This window comes from Homo sapiens, chromosome 15 (assembly GCF_000001405.40).
Source record: "Homo sapiens chromosome 15, GRCh38.p14 Primary Assembly".
Lineage (NCBI taxonomy): Eukaryota > Metazoa > Chordata > Mammalia > Primates > Hominidae > Homo > Homo sapiens.
In genome coordinates, this window is record NC_000015.10 from 64,001,416 (window position 1) to 64,015,506 (window position 14,091).

Sequence of the window (14,091 nt, forward strand, 5' to 3'; positions counted from 1 at the left end):
ACTCACAATATACATTTTCTCTCTCCAAAATTCAGAGCAAATACACAGCCTAAGAAGACAACAGCCTCTTCCCACTTGAGGAGGATGGGAAGGAAGTGGGGCTACTAAGCAGTGATCAGAGCTCCCAAGAAGACCTTTCTGGAAATCTCCCCTTATGGCACAAATAGGTCAGCAGTGTGCCCCCCTCCCCACTCTAGGAGCCCCGGGCTGTACTTCCCCTCCTTTCCTCTCAATTGCACCCTTAAGAACATTGCTCCTAAATGTTGTACCAGCGGCATTGACTCCACCTGGAAGCTTGTCAGAAAAGTGGAATCTTAGATTTCATCTCAGCACTACTGAATCAGAATGTGTGTGTTAACATAACTCCCAGGTGATCCACATACACATTAAAGTTTGAGAAGTGCTGTTTTAGAAAATATTACGGCAAGGCCCCAATCCACTGCATAACAGAATCCTAGGCACCCCAATATTCATGCCACATTTCCTTTGGTTCTGACCCTCTTTGCTGAAAATTTGCTTTCCTACCTTGGTAAAGGCAGTATTATGAACAAACACAAATTAATAAATATCTGTTGAGTGACTCCTTCTGTGAATAAAAGTAGCCCTTGAAGAGCAACTTCATGATTTGCAAAGTAGTTTCACATGAATCCTCTCATTTTACACTCTCAAATCCTTGGGAGGCTCATGGGGACAGGTATTGCCAACTCCTACTGCAGAAGAGCCAAGCTCAGGGCCCTGGGGAGAGTGGCACAGTCAACCTCCAAGGTGGCACCTCTGATCCCCATCTGGTGGAAACGTCCCAGCTCAACGCAGATCAACCATAGTGTTAAGAGGAAAGGATGGACTACTTTAAAACATTTTTATTAACAGAGTTCATCAGAAATTCCTTTTTTTATGTAAGTCTTCTTATTGGAAACACAAATGAGCTCTACATGCTCTAGCAATAAACAATATATGTCCTTCAATAAAATACGTTTTGAAGATGAACACATTTTTAAAGGTTTTAACAGTTTCTCCTATTGTCCCTGTGTCTTCCATAGCATCTATCAACATAATTTGTCCATAATAGTAAAAAATATTTCATAATTAATGGATGGATGGATAGATGACCAACTGGAGGACTTGGCAGAACACATACTAAACTCTCCCAGCTCCAGTTTCCACTTCTGTAAAATGAGGCTAATATCTACCTATGTCAGGCTTCTATGAGGCTCACATAGCAATGCAAGTGAATATGCTTTGTAAACTGCAAAAGGCCACACACATGCAAGGGATGATAGTATGAACTCCCATCAATCTCACACACAGATACAGTAGGCAGCTATTTGGTAAGAATTCAGGGGGCCTTTGTGCCCCCAACTCACCCAATAAACTCACTGATATCTCATCTGTAAAGTATCATTCCTTAGAGTCTTGGGTCTTTTAAACAAAGAATCGCCTAATTAATGAAACCAGCAGCAGAGGGAGGAGGAGAGAGGGAGGGAGAGAAAGACTGAGACACTGTGTGTGTGTGTGTGTGTGTGTGTGTGTGTGTGTGTGTGTGTGTGTGTCGTGGGACCTGTGTGTGTGTGTGTGTGTGTGTGTGTGTGTGTGTGTGTGTCGTGGGACCAGAGGTGGTGGGGTAGTGTTAAGACTGACTCTTTTATTAATTTACCCAAAGCAGGAATTTGCAGGAATGGGACCTAGGCTTGGAGGCTGAGGAGGGTGGGTGGATGCAATAAGGCCACAAGATAAGGTGGGGAAGAACTGATCTCAGGGGAGACCCCTTGAGGATAGAATGGACAGACGACCCCCTACTGGCTCTTCTCTTCTAACTCTGAAGGCTGGACTTCGATCCAGAGCACATCTCTAGATTCTGTCCCTTTTCAGCGGCTGAGTGAGGAAAAACTTGGAATAGCAACACTTGCAAAGGGTGTGAAATTAATCTGCATTAGTGGGAAGGTTTAGCAATAGCACTCTATCATAGGCAGTGCATTGCTCTGGCAGAGACCTAGACACACTTTGCAGACTGCAAAATCATGTCCTTACAGGGCATCCAATGCTTCCAGCATCACCAGGATTCGCCTACTTCTTTGCTGACCCATGGTGGCATTACCTGGGTTTAATCAGCTGAGTGATCAAGAGCAAATCAGTCATCCTGTCTTGGGTCTTAAGTTTCTTTTCTTTCTTTTCCTTCCTTCTTTTCTTTTCTTTACTTTTCTTTTCCTTCTGACAGAGTCTTGCTCTGTCACCCAGGCTGGAGTGCAGTGGCGCAATCTCAGCTCACTGCAACCTCTGTCTCCCAGGTTCAAGTGATTCTCTTGCCTTAGCCTCCAGAGTAGCTGGGATTACTGGTGTGTGCCATCACACCTGGCTATTTTTTGTATTTTTAGTAGAGACGGGGTTTCACCACGTTGGTCAGGCTGGTCTCAAACTCCTGACCTCAAGTGTCTGCCTGCCTCAGCCTCCCAAAGTGCTGGAATTACAGGCATGGGCCATGGCACCTGGCCTATCACACCTTTTAAAATTAACAATAATTCTTTAATGTCATCAATATCCATTTGGTGTTCATATTTCCCCCATGTGCCTTAACTTTTTTTTACAGTTTGTTCCATCAAATCAAAACCCAAGGAAGGTCACATATTGCAAATGATATGTCTCTTAAGCCTCTTTTAATCTTTAGGTTCTTCTCTCTCTCTCTCTCTCCCTTCCCAGAGCTCCCCTCCATCCCTCCATTTTTCTCTTTTTCTTATACTTCATTTGTCATAAATACCAGGTCTTTTGACCTATACCATTTCTCACTGTCTGGATTTTATTGGCCACTTCCTGATAGTATTGTTTACATGTTCCTCTGCCCCCTGTATTTCCTGTAAATGAGTAGCTGGATCTAGAGGCTTGATCAGATTCAGGTTTGAGTTTCTTGCAAGACTCCTTCATTGGTGGTGCTGTGTGTTCCCATCAGGAGGCGCCTAACGTTGGCTATCTCTCTTTGTGATATTACCAGCTTCTGATGATCAATGCCTAGATCCATTAATTCAACAGGGGGACCCTCACTTTTTAAAAAAATCCTCATCATAATCTATGGCTTGCCTCATGCTGATACCTTTGCCTGGATGGGGCAGCTTGGTTTAGACAAGTGTTCTGAGGACTTTGAGCACCTTAGTGGGATAGAGACTTTCAGAGACATTACTGCCCCTCTTCAAGGGTGGAGATAGGGGTCTCTGCTAGGCCTCAATGGAAACTGCTGGCTGGTTTGGTGGGGTCTTTCCCCTCAGCTTGCATAACAATAATTCCACAGTGGGCCCCTTGGTTTGGCAGCGGGCTTTCGCACAGGCTCCAGGGCACACATACAAAAGCACTAAGCACGTGCAGCACCGCTCCTGAGTCATCCAAGGACACAACCCAATGATCCTGTAACTCTGAGAGCCACACCCTCCCTTTCAGCAGCCACAGGTTGTTCTCTGACCTTACACTCTTGGCTTCAGTGCCAAATCAGTGATGACTTATCTTTCCTTTGAAACGTTAATTCCTTCTACTCCCAGAGTTCCTTTGAGATGAAGGTTTTCATGAGCTTTCAAAACACTCTCTTACCTAATCCTCCTAGCACTTAAGTAAGGATGAAAGGTGACTAGCCGAGAGACCCCACTTCCCAAACAGGGAAACTGAGCCCAAAGCTTAACTGATCCACCTGCTGTTGTGCTCTGGCCTCAGGCCCCCACTTCAGGGTGCAAGATTGTGGGTTTGACAAGACAAAGACATGTCTTCTGAGTGAACCCAATACCCATCCTTGAGTGGTGCTCTGTCCTGTGGTCTCAGGGAAGCCAAGAGGCTCTTCTCAGGAGGGGTATCCAGTTAGCTCAGGGCAAGTCATCCTACCTAGATTTTCCCAAAGAGCAGTAATTTCAAACCCTTTGATTCACTTTCAGGCTCTGTGTGTGAGGTTGTGTGTTTGATCAAGGGTTTGGTAAGTTCAGCCACCACAGATACTAGATACAAGAGCAGAAACTTACCTTTCCTTGACCTAAGTCATAGATGCCAGCCCAAGAATATCATGTGCAGTTCCGGAAAGATGTGCAGGTGCTGGAGAAGATGTGGAAAGGGAATGTCTGAAGCAACTCAGAGGGTGGGAGGACAGCCATGTGCCCTCCCAACATAGGAATGGGCTTATACCAATCTGCCCAGAGTCCCTCATGCCTAAGGCCAACAGCAAATACTGGGAAACAGATAGCCAAGGTAGGGGTGGGCAGGGGAGGAAAACAAAAAACTGTCTTGCCCACAAAGGAGAAGAAGTAAACACAAAGACTAGATCTGGGAGAAGAACCAGATTCAAACCACATAAAACTCTGCAACATGGCTGGGCATGGTGGTGCGTGCCTGTAATCCCAGCTACTCAAGAGGCTGAGGTGGGAGGATCACTGGAGACCAGGAGTTCAGGACCAGCCAGGGCAACATAGTGAGATCCTGTCTCTAAAAAGAAAAAAATTTTTTAATTAGCTAGGCGTGTTGGCACACATTTGTAGTCCTAGCTACTTGGGAGGCTGAGGTAGAAAGATCACTTGAGCCCAGAAGTTTAAGGCTGCTGCAGTGACCTATGATCGGATTATTGCAATCCAGCCTGGGTGACAGAGCCAGATCCTGACTCAAAAAAAAAAAAAAAAAACCCCACAAAAAACCCTCTGCAACACGTACAAACCCAGCCAGCTCAGCATGGTTCTCCCTATGGCCTCTCCTGGCATCCCATCACTCCTGAGAGGGTGTCAGGACCAACCCACACTGAGTGGTCTCCGCTCACCACACTGGTCCATCCAGCTTTCCCAGACCAACCTGATCCTTCCGCCACCAAAGCAGCACCTGCCACCAAGATGTGTAGCCACCTGAGTTCTGACACATGTAGCTTTTGCCAATTTAACAAAAAACAGTCAGGAGGCAGAATGTCAGCCTTTACCATCAGAGGCCATAAGCCCCCAGACTGACCAGCCAGGGAGCAAAAATGACTTTTTTCTCCTTATATCATGTCCTGGTCTATACAGTATATGTCAGCCCTTGGCAACCACCAGCTAAGGACGTACAACATCGTCACCTATATTAGACGCTCAAGAGAAGCAAGGAACTCCCCCAACTCCATTCCCACTTCACCAAAGCAGGGCAGAAACAACCAAGAAAGACGTCAGAGATCCCCCAGTATACAATAAAACTTGGCAAACCTCATGGAACCATGGAAATAAAAGGAATTTCTTACCGTCACCTCACTTTATAAATGGGGAAACTGAGGCCTAGCAAAGGAAAGGAACTTGCCCACATCACCTATTCTCCCGGGCAGTGACAGATGCAGGACCAGACAGGTCTCCTGTCAGGTGGCCCCATTCTCTTCCCTTCTCACCCTGCCTCATGTGTCAGACAACTCATCCTTGGTGCCTGCCAGGGGAAGGCCTGGCAGCTGGAGGAGGTGAGGCCAAGTACAGATTACATCAATCTAGCAGGTAGCCAAGAAGGAAGTAGACATTATTCTTCCCTCCCACCCATAGGGAGCCCGACTCCAGGAAGTCACTGAAATGCAGGGAGGCTCAAACCTTAACTCGGAAAAACCTGCATGGGCTGCAGGGGAGAGGATCTAAAGGCAGTGGTGGGCCCACCCTCACTTTACTGTGCTTTTTCACTTTACAAGTGATCTTTCCACCTCAGCCTCCCAAGTAGCTAGGACTACAAATGTGTGCCAACCTCTCCTAGCTAATTGAAAAAAAAATTTTTTTTTTAGAGACGGGGTCTCACTATGTCATCCTGGCTGGTCCTGAACTCCTGGTCTCCAGTGATCCTCCCACCTCAGCCTCTCGAGTAGCTGGGATTACAGGCACGCACCACCATGCCCAGCCAACCTTTCTCATTCCCTTTCACACAACCCTTTCTCACTCTTCTCAAAATGACCTGAAGGTACAGGGTCCCCTCAGCCTGTTTTCTGGCCCCCACTCAGTTTCCAGTTCCCCCCAGTCTTCCTTCCTCTCCCCTATCATGGCAATCTGTCCCCTGCTCACATTTCATCTTAGCTCCAGCCAGAGCTCTCCATCCTCCAAGAGCCAGTAGGAAACCTCTCCTGCCTCCTGATCTCCCAGCCTCAGAGAAAGTCAATGCTGGGAAGGCAGGCACAGGTCCCCTCCTGGAGGGGGACAGGCTTACTCTGCACAGGAGTTTCCCAAAATCCCCTTGGATAGCTCTGTGATGCTTCTCCTAACAGTTACCTGATGCCTGCAGTTTGTTTAACTATAAAATTCTGCATAAGGGACTGAGAGTCCGACTTTTTTGGCACATCAAATAGCTTGGAGCATACAACTATGTTTGCTGTGTGCCATTTAGCACTAAATGTCAAGACGATACAGTCCAAATGTTCATCATCTAGTGAATAGATGAACAAAAGGTGGTGTAGCCATACAACTGGATATTATTTGGCAATTAAAAGGAAAAAAGTACTGATCCATGCTATATCATGGATGGACCTTGAAAATACTATGCTAAGTGAAAGAAGCCAGTCACAAAGGACCGCATGTTGTATGATTGCACTTTTACAAAATGTCTAGAACAGGCAAATCCACAGACAGAAGGAAGATTAGTGGTTGCCTAGGGCTAGTGGGTTTGGGAGAAGCAGAGAGTGACTGCTAATGGGTAAGGGGGTTTTTTGGTAATGAAATGTTCTAAAATTGATGATGATGATGGTCACACAACTCTGAATACATTAAAGCCATTTAATGGCTTTAATACACTATATGCGAATGTACTAATGGCTTTAGGACACTATAAATGGGTGAATTGTATATAAATTATATCTGTTTTTTTAAAAAAGAACCATAAAAATACTCACATGCTTTCACCAGGTGATATCAACTCTACCCTATATGCAGGTTCTTTATGAAGCACTTTTCATATATTGGCCTCAGACAGTATCTCAACACCCTGCACAGTCAGTGCTCTCCCCATTATAGAGATCAGGAAGTTGAGACTCACAGAGTTACAGTCACAGAGCCAATTTGCCACAGATCTAGAACTTAAAGTCAGATTATCTGAGTCCAGGTGCATTGTATTCTGGGAATTTGGCCTCTAGAGAGACTTCAAATGAAAGAACATAGTTTCATAGACAAGAAAAAGCTGGAAACAAGCTAAGCATTCTCCACTAAGGAACAGCTTTGGCAATCAGATGTTCTGGATGCAATAGACAATTATATAAACATTAAAATAGCAAGTATGAACATCATAAGGGACATGTTTATAAAATAATAAGTGAACATGCACAAATGATATGTATGGTTTGATTCAATTTTTGTATTAGAGAACACAGATGCAAAAGTGCATGAGGATAACAAATAGTTGAGTGAAACTTTTCCTTTTAAAATTTCCTGTGTTTTAAAAGTAAGAAAATGAGAAGAAACACCTGCATAGACATCCCTAACCAACAGAGCAGTGCACTGCTGTCATCCAATCAAGGGTGTACTTGAGGGACAGGCCACAGAGCTGCAGCATCACCAAGGGCCTTACAGATGACAGGGGAGGAAAGGGTAGGATCCCCTTTTCAGTCTGCAAACATAAGACCTCTTTGTTTAAAGGAGGCATAGGAAAGTTGGCCAGAATTTATTGTCACAGCTGATCCTTCCCTCAAGGTGTCCTGGACATGAGGCCCTCCTCTATTTTCACCTCCTGTGCATACCTCCATCATGGGATTCAGCCCATTTTACTGAAATTCTCTATATATTATTCTCCCTTAGTAGACTGTAATTGTCCAGCCTTGTACCCCCAGGCACCAACTACAGTGGATACACAGTAGATCTGCAGTGCATGTTTTCTGAATGGACTTGGGCTAGTATCTCTTCATTACCTGCCATCCTCCTGAGCTAGACTTTTACAGACCAACACTTAGTACAGCTTCCTGATCAGTGTTGCTGTCTTCAGCCCTCCACCCACACACCCAATCCACACCCCACATTCCCCAGTATATTGTCCTACAACGCAGACATCATCATGTTCTCTGCTCAAGATTATTTTCTCCTTCCCATCAAGCCTGAGCTCCTTGGCCAGGCCCCAGGGGCCTTTCACCACCTAGCCTCATTCTACTTGCCCAAATGTACTCTGCTTCCCAGCAGACACACCCCAACACACTCATTTCCACCTCTGGGTTTCTGCTAGCCCTATTTGCCTAAACTAGGAGGTCGTCTGCCTACCCAAATGCTACTCCTGTTTTAAGTTCAAGTTCCAGCTCCTCCTGGAAGTCTTCCCTGACCATGCCACCCCCCAGGAATCCTCACCTTGGAATATGTTAGCTCCTAAAGTTCAGTACACTTAATTGTCTCTTTATGCTCATTTCTTTACTGTGTTTGCCTTTCCCCCCGCCCCTAAATTAGGTTAATCTGTTAAGGGCAGGGCAATGTCTTACACTTCATCTGTGTGACCCACCACACCCACTGTAAGAGAGGCACCTTACAGCAGCTCAAGACTTCGAGGTGGTTAGCACTAAAAATCTGAAACACAGTCATGATGAGTAACGACAAAAGCAGTTTCCAGTGGCACAAAGGCTTGTTCTAGGCAGCCAGCACAGTTGGGCTGTGGGTAAGAGGGTTTGTCAAAGGGCCTTAGAATTGTAAACCTATGCCACTGAAACAAACTGAGTTCTCTGTAGCACCTGATGGTATAAACCAGTGTTTCTCAAAGTGTGACCCGAGACCAGTAAGATCAGGATCATCTGGGAACCTGTCAGAAATGCAAATTATCAGGCCCTAAGCTCAGACCCACAGAGTCAGGAACTCTGGGGGTGGGGCCCAGCATCTGTGGTTTGATAAGCCCTCTGAGGATTCTAATGCCCACCAAAGTTTGAGAACCACGAGTTCTCACGCAACAGGAATATCCTGGTATGCCAGAAGGTTCAGTTTCTTCTATCTCTAAAGACGGCCTATAAATATCATTTTTAACTTATGTCTTTCTGTTTACTACTACTCTCAATAACAATAGTAATAATATAACAACAGTATTGACTGCTTAGTGTCCTCTGCCAACTTTCCCAACTACAGTTTTCAGGAGCAAGAAGTTATCAGCATAGGTATAGGCATGGGGATCCGCATTCTTGGCTTTTTCAATGTGATGATGATCCCTACATTTGTCTCTCAGCCTCAAACCAGTTATTTCTCATCACTCCCAAATCCCAGCTGACCACTTCAGGCAAAGTCCCCACCCGCCTGCCTTAATGTCTTGATTTTCAGAGTTGGCACTTTAATTGTTCTGAGCCCCTACTGCAGTTTTGGTCTCTCATTTGTCTACCCATCCCCACTTCGGAAAACAATGGGTCAGTCTGCTACCAGCTTGGGTTTTATCCCATTCATGAAGACAAGCTTCCCATGGACTCATTCTTCAGCACCTGTCCCAGCTCTGCATGTCAGTGGGTGGGGTGGGTTTGTGTGTAGAACAGCAGCCGAGCTTCCTGTAATCTTGTTTATAAACTGTTGATGCATGTCCTGACCGCATCACAAGAGGGTTCACAGGGAAGCCGTCAGTCTTGGGGCAGAATCTGCAGGGCACCAGCAACCCCATGTGGAGGTGGCTGACTCATTCTGTGGTCTCCTGTCTGGGGACATAGCAACAACACAGACCCAGAGCTACTTGGCAGAGGGCCCCACTCATGGTAGGCACCCAATCTGAACCCTCCAGATTAGCATAAAGGCAGGACAATGGAACAGATAAAGCCATATGCAAAGGATCAGGATCAACAGCTCAGGTTGGAGTGGAAAAAACACAGGTGGAGGATTGGCTGTGCTTGTGGCTTTGCACCCCCAACTACGTGACTTCTGGCACCAAGTCACCTCTTGCCTGTGAGCCTCTTTTCCCTAAAAGTTAGAGAGTAAAGATGATCTCAAGCTGGGCACAGTGGCTCACACCTGTAATCCCAGCATTTTAGGAGGCCGAGGTGGGTGGATCACTGGAGGTCAGGAGTTCCAGACCAGCCTGGCCAACATGATGAAACCCCATCTCTAACTAAAAATACAAAAATTAGCCAGGCATGGTGGCGGGCACCTGTAATCCAAGCTACTCAGGAGGCTGAGGCAGGAGAATCGCTTAAACCCAGGAGGCGGAAGCTGCAGTGAGCCTAGACTCAAAACACTCAAGTGTTTGTGGAAGTGTTTAGGAGAAAAACAACGCTACAGCCTTATACACTCCAGGTTGATGCTTGGATAATGAAAATGTTCTATATCTGTGCTGTCTAATGTGGTAGCTGCTAGCCACGTGTGGCTACTGAACACTCGAAATGTGGATAGTACAACTGAGAAACTAATTTGCAATTTTACTTATTTTTAATTACATTTAAATTTAAGCAGTCAGATGTTGTTGGTGACTACCACATTGGACAATGCAGCTCTAACTGAATTCATGAAATGCAAGTCCTTGAGAACTCTGTCTCCATATAGTAAGTGAAAAAATAAAACTGCTCCTCCAGTTTGCACATGCTTTACTCTAAGTGGGAGAAATTCCAAGGACCACTTAAAGAAGTCCCAGGAAGCAAAACCCCTCTTCTTGGGCCCTCAGCCCAGCTTGGCCACCAGCCACCTTCATGGAAAGTAATGAGTCTTTTCCAGCCCCCCAGCCTTGATCTCTCTGTGTGTCAGTTCCTTCCGTAAAGTGCAGACCAGCCACTCTGATTTCCTCACACAGTTGCAAGAACACACTGCAAAGCTGTACCATAAGGAATCTTAAAAGTCCTGGCAAACATACATTACTGACTGTCACTACCCCTCACTGCTGCAGCAACCTTCCTGAAGCCTCAATACATGACCCATTAACCACTGAGAGGCTGGAAAGAGGTGACCATACTGCGGGATGGGAGAACATCCACTGATTTATCAAACATTCAGTAAAATAGTCTACGTGGCTTATATGCCACATGCATTCAAGAAATGTGATAAATCGATGCACTAACAATTCCATTTTCCAGAATTTATCTGACAATTTTACCAGTACAAGGGTGACACAAGAGTTTGTCTTGTTTACAGTTAAATCCTTAGTGCCTAGAACCATACTTGGCAGACAGCAGATGAGTAAATGAGGTATGCAGATGTATGTAAAAAGATGCGCATTTCAGCAACAACCTAAATGTCTATCAAGACGGTACTGCTTAAATTAATTATGGTCCATCCATAACAGGTGGTCTATGCAGCTTTTAAAAAGATACACATACCTGATCTGGGAAAATACACAAGATTAAAATACAAAGTTACAGAACAACATTCTGATCCCATCTGTGTATATAGTCTGTTCTACCTTTTTGAAAATATAGACTATGCATATGTATGTTCATATATGCATTGACAATTTCTGGAAGGATATACAAGAAACTTAATGATCACTTATGAGGAATAGGACTAGAGAGGTTCAGGAGGATGGTGGGAGGGAACTTTTAAATGCACTATTTGATTTTGTTATTAACTGATTTTCTTTCTTAACTATACAAGTTAAACATGATCATGTTAAGCATTCTATCTGGGGCACTGCATAGCCAATGAATATATTTATATAGGGAATGACTGTAAAATGTTTACACTACAACATAAATAGGGAAATGGGATATAAATTGTATCTTCGATATGATCATAATGTCAAACAGACAAGAAAGAATTCACAGAAGCAAAACTATGTCAGTCCCTACTAGCCTAGTCCCTGAAAGGAGGCCTGAGACCCCTGCCACCCCAGACCCCCAGACAACCCATAAGGTGGCAACCAAATCATTAAAGAGCCGACTCATTTCACGGTGCATGTGCACAAAGCAGTCACAATAACATTTTGGTTGTTCTGTAAAATGAGACCAGTCTAACTCCCTTGTTCTGCATGGGATTATGGAAATGGGGTAACCTGCCATTATCTTTATACAAGGGTTAAGATCTTGTTCTTCATTACTGAGATTTTAAGCTGGGAGGCTGCAAGTCACAAGACATTAAGTGAATGTGGGCAGTCTTAAGAGGCCAGGAACTAACAGCTTAAACTACACTACGTGCCTTTAAGACTTAGTAATTGGGCAGAAAAGTGAAACCAGGAGAGAAGCTTTCAACAGCTATGTCTCTGATTACCTTGCATTCAGTCCTATGGAAGCAAATACCTTAAGAAAACATGAGGAGAAGGGGCAAGAACTTTAAAAGTAGAAAAACCTAAGGGCTAGAAAGGCCCTGAGATACCATCTAGCCTAACCCTCACATTGCCAGAGAAGGAACTGAGCGCCAGATAAGAATGCATTCCTTCTAAAATGATTGCAGACCTGGGAAGGAGGGTGCTATTAAGTGAACAGAGTTATAGGTTTCCTGGCAGCGGTGACTGAGAAAGCAAGCTGGATTTGAGAAATTATTCATTCTGGAAAACTACAGTTGGCCTCATATCACATCAAAGCCAGAGGAAACATGGGACCAGTCCCTGTAAGTGGTCCAGCCTCACATGAATAAATCATGATGCCATTATGAGCAGATAGAAATCTCCTGCTTCAGGACTAATTAGTCATTTCACTTAGAAAATGGGAGAGGCCCCAACCTTCTCTGGGTGTGGCTGGCAGCTGTGCCAGAAAGAAACACCTTCTAGCCAGGGTTCTGGCCAGGAGGCTAGGCTGCCAGAGGCCTTGCTGAGGTTGCACCAACACAGGTCAAGTGTTTATCTACTTGGTTTTCCTCTAACTAGGCTCCCAGATGGACTTCACCTACCCACGGAGAACCTGATCCTTGGGAAATGGGGTTATCACAGAGAATGCTTTACAGGGAAAAGCATGGTCCATCCTGCAGTTTGGGTTTTTAGGAATACTACCTGCGGAGGCAGCACTGCTGGGACCAGGATCAGGGAATGGGATCTCTGACCCTACCTTGGCCACAAGGAGAACATTTATGTTGGTCCAGGCCCTGGCCTTATCAGACATGAGCCTTCAGAGACCTGAGAGCTGTTGGGACAATCACACAGTGTTCTGCCTGAAAAGGACCTTTGATAGTATCCGATAGTCCAACATTCTGGCTTTCCACAGGAAGAAATGAAAACCCTGGGAGTAGGTCACTTGTTCAAAATCACCCAATGATTTAGGAACAGAGAGGAGACAAGACCAAACACTTTCCTATGCCAGTTGAGCAGCCAAGGAGGCACTGACAGGTGTTTACCAAAGACTGCATGGTACTGCAGGGGGGCTTACATCTAACTGGAAAAACAAGGCCTGATCCCTCAGAAGAGTTAATATTATTACACAAAAATAAGACCTGGCTGGGCTTGGTGGCTCACGCCTGTAATCCTAACACTTTGAGAGGCCAAGGCAGGTGGATCACCTGAGGTCAGGAGTTCGAGACCAGCCTGGTCAACATAGTGAAACCCCGTCTCTACTAAAAATACAAAAATTAGCTGGGCATGGTGGTGGGCACCTGTAATCCCAGCTATTTGGGAGGCTGAGACAGGAGAATCACTTGAACCTGGGAGGTGGAGGTTGCAGTGAGCTGAAATCGTGAAATAGAGCCACTTCACTCTAGCCTGGGTGAAAGAGCGAGACTCCATCTCAAAAAAAAAAAAAAAACATTCTGACATTGTTGAAGGAGGGAGGACAGATAAAGTACCAGATGCGTTGATAGCCAAGAGGCATGCAGTAAGGAAGAATGCTAAGAGGAGGTGGGCAGGGAATGATGGGGAGGGAGATCTGGACAGAAGAGGAGAGAAGAACAGATTCTGCAGTGTTAAGTAAATGTAAGGCAGCAGGAAAGGGTACCGTGTGGTCAGGAGTCTGTGCCAGCTGCAGTCTGGCAGGAGAACAAACAGCCTGGCTGACCCACAGGGCCCTGCCATGCCAAGGACAGCCTCTCTCTTGCTTATGCCACACAGGACAACGACAGCATGTTCGAGGTGGGAATTACCACTCTGACGTTCAAAAGTAGCTAATCCCAGAGCTGCTCTGTGAGCTCTTTATATAAGGTCTTCCCATTGCCTAAAGGTCTAAAGGATCGAGACCACTTGACCACAACACTCAGGGCACTGCTATAGGCAGAGTAGAGGCAGCTGCTGTCAGCTCAGTGCCCAGCCTGCAGTGAGTGGATTGACCCCCAAAGTTCTCATGCAACTCCAAGAAGAAACAGGGGTGGGCAG

At 45.4% G+C, this 14,091-nt stretch overlaps 1 protein-coding gene across 24 annotated transcripts in view, besides 3 other annotated features; it reads right to left on the bottom strand.

Moving 5' to 3' along the window:
• DAPK2 (death associated protein kinase 2) overlaps positions 1 to 14,091 on the bottom strand; it is a 139,450-nt gene that overhangs the window by 94,380 nt on the left and 30,979 nt on the right. The window lies entirely within an intron of this gene.
• Positions 8,347 to 8,406: a silencer, noted in NCBI's record as "silent region_6524". NCBI's record gives its function as "represses an Ori minimal core promoter by ATAC-STARR-seq in GM12878 lymphoblastoid cells {active_cell/tissue: GM12878}" and the evidence as "EXISTENCE:reporter gene assay evidence [ECO:0000049][PMID:35858748]".
• Positions 8,777 to 8,866: an enhancer, noted in NCBI's record as "active region_9547". NCBI's record gives its function as "activates an Ori minimal core promoter by ATAC-STARR-seq in GM12878 lymphoblastoid cells {active_cell/tissue: GM12878}" and the evidence as "EXISTENCE:reporter gene assay evidence [ECO:0000049][PMID:35858748]".
• Positions 9,724 to 9,773: an enhancer, noted in NCBI's record as "active region_9548". NCBI's record gives its function as "activates an Ori minimal core promoter by ATAC-STARR-seq in GM12878 lymphoblastoid cells {active_cell/tissue: GM12878}" and the evidence as "EXISTENCE:reporter gene assay evidence [ECO:0000049][PMID:35858748]".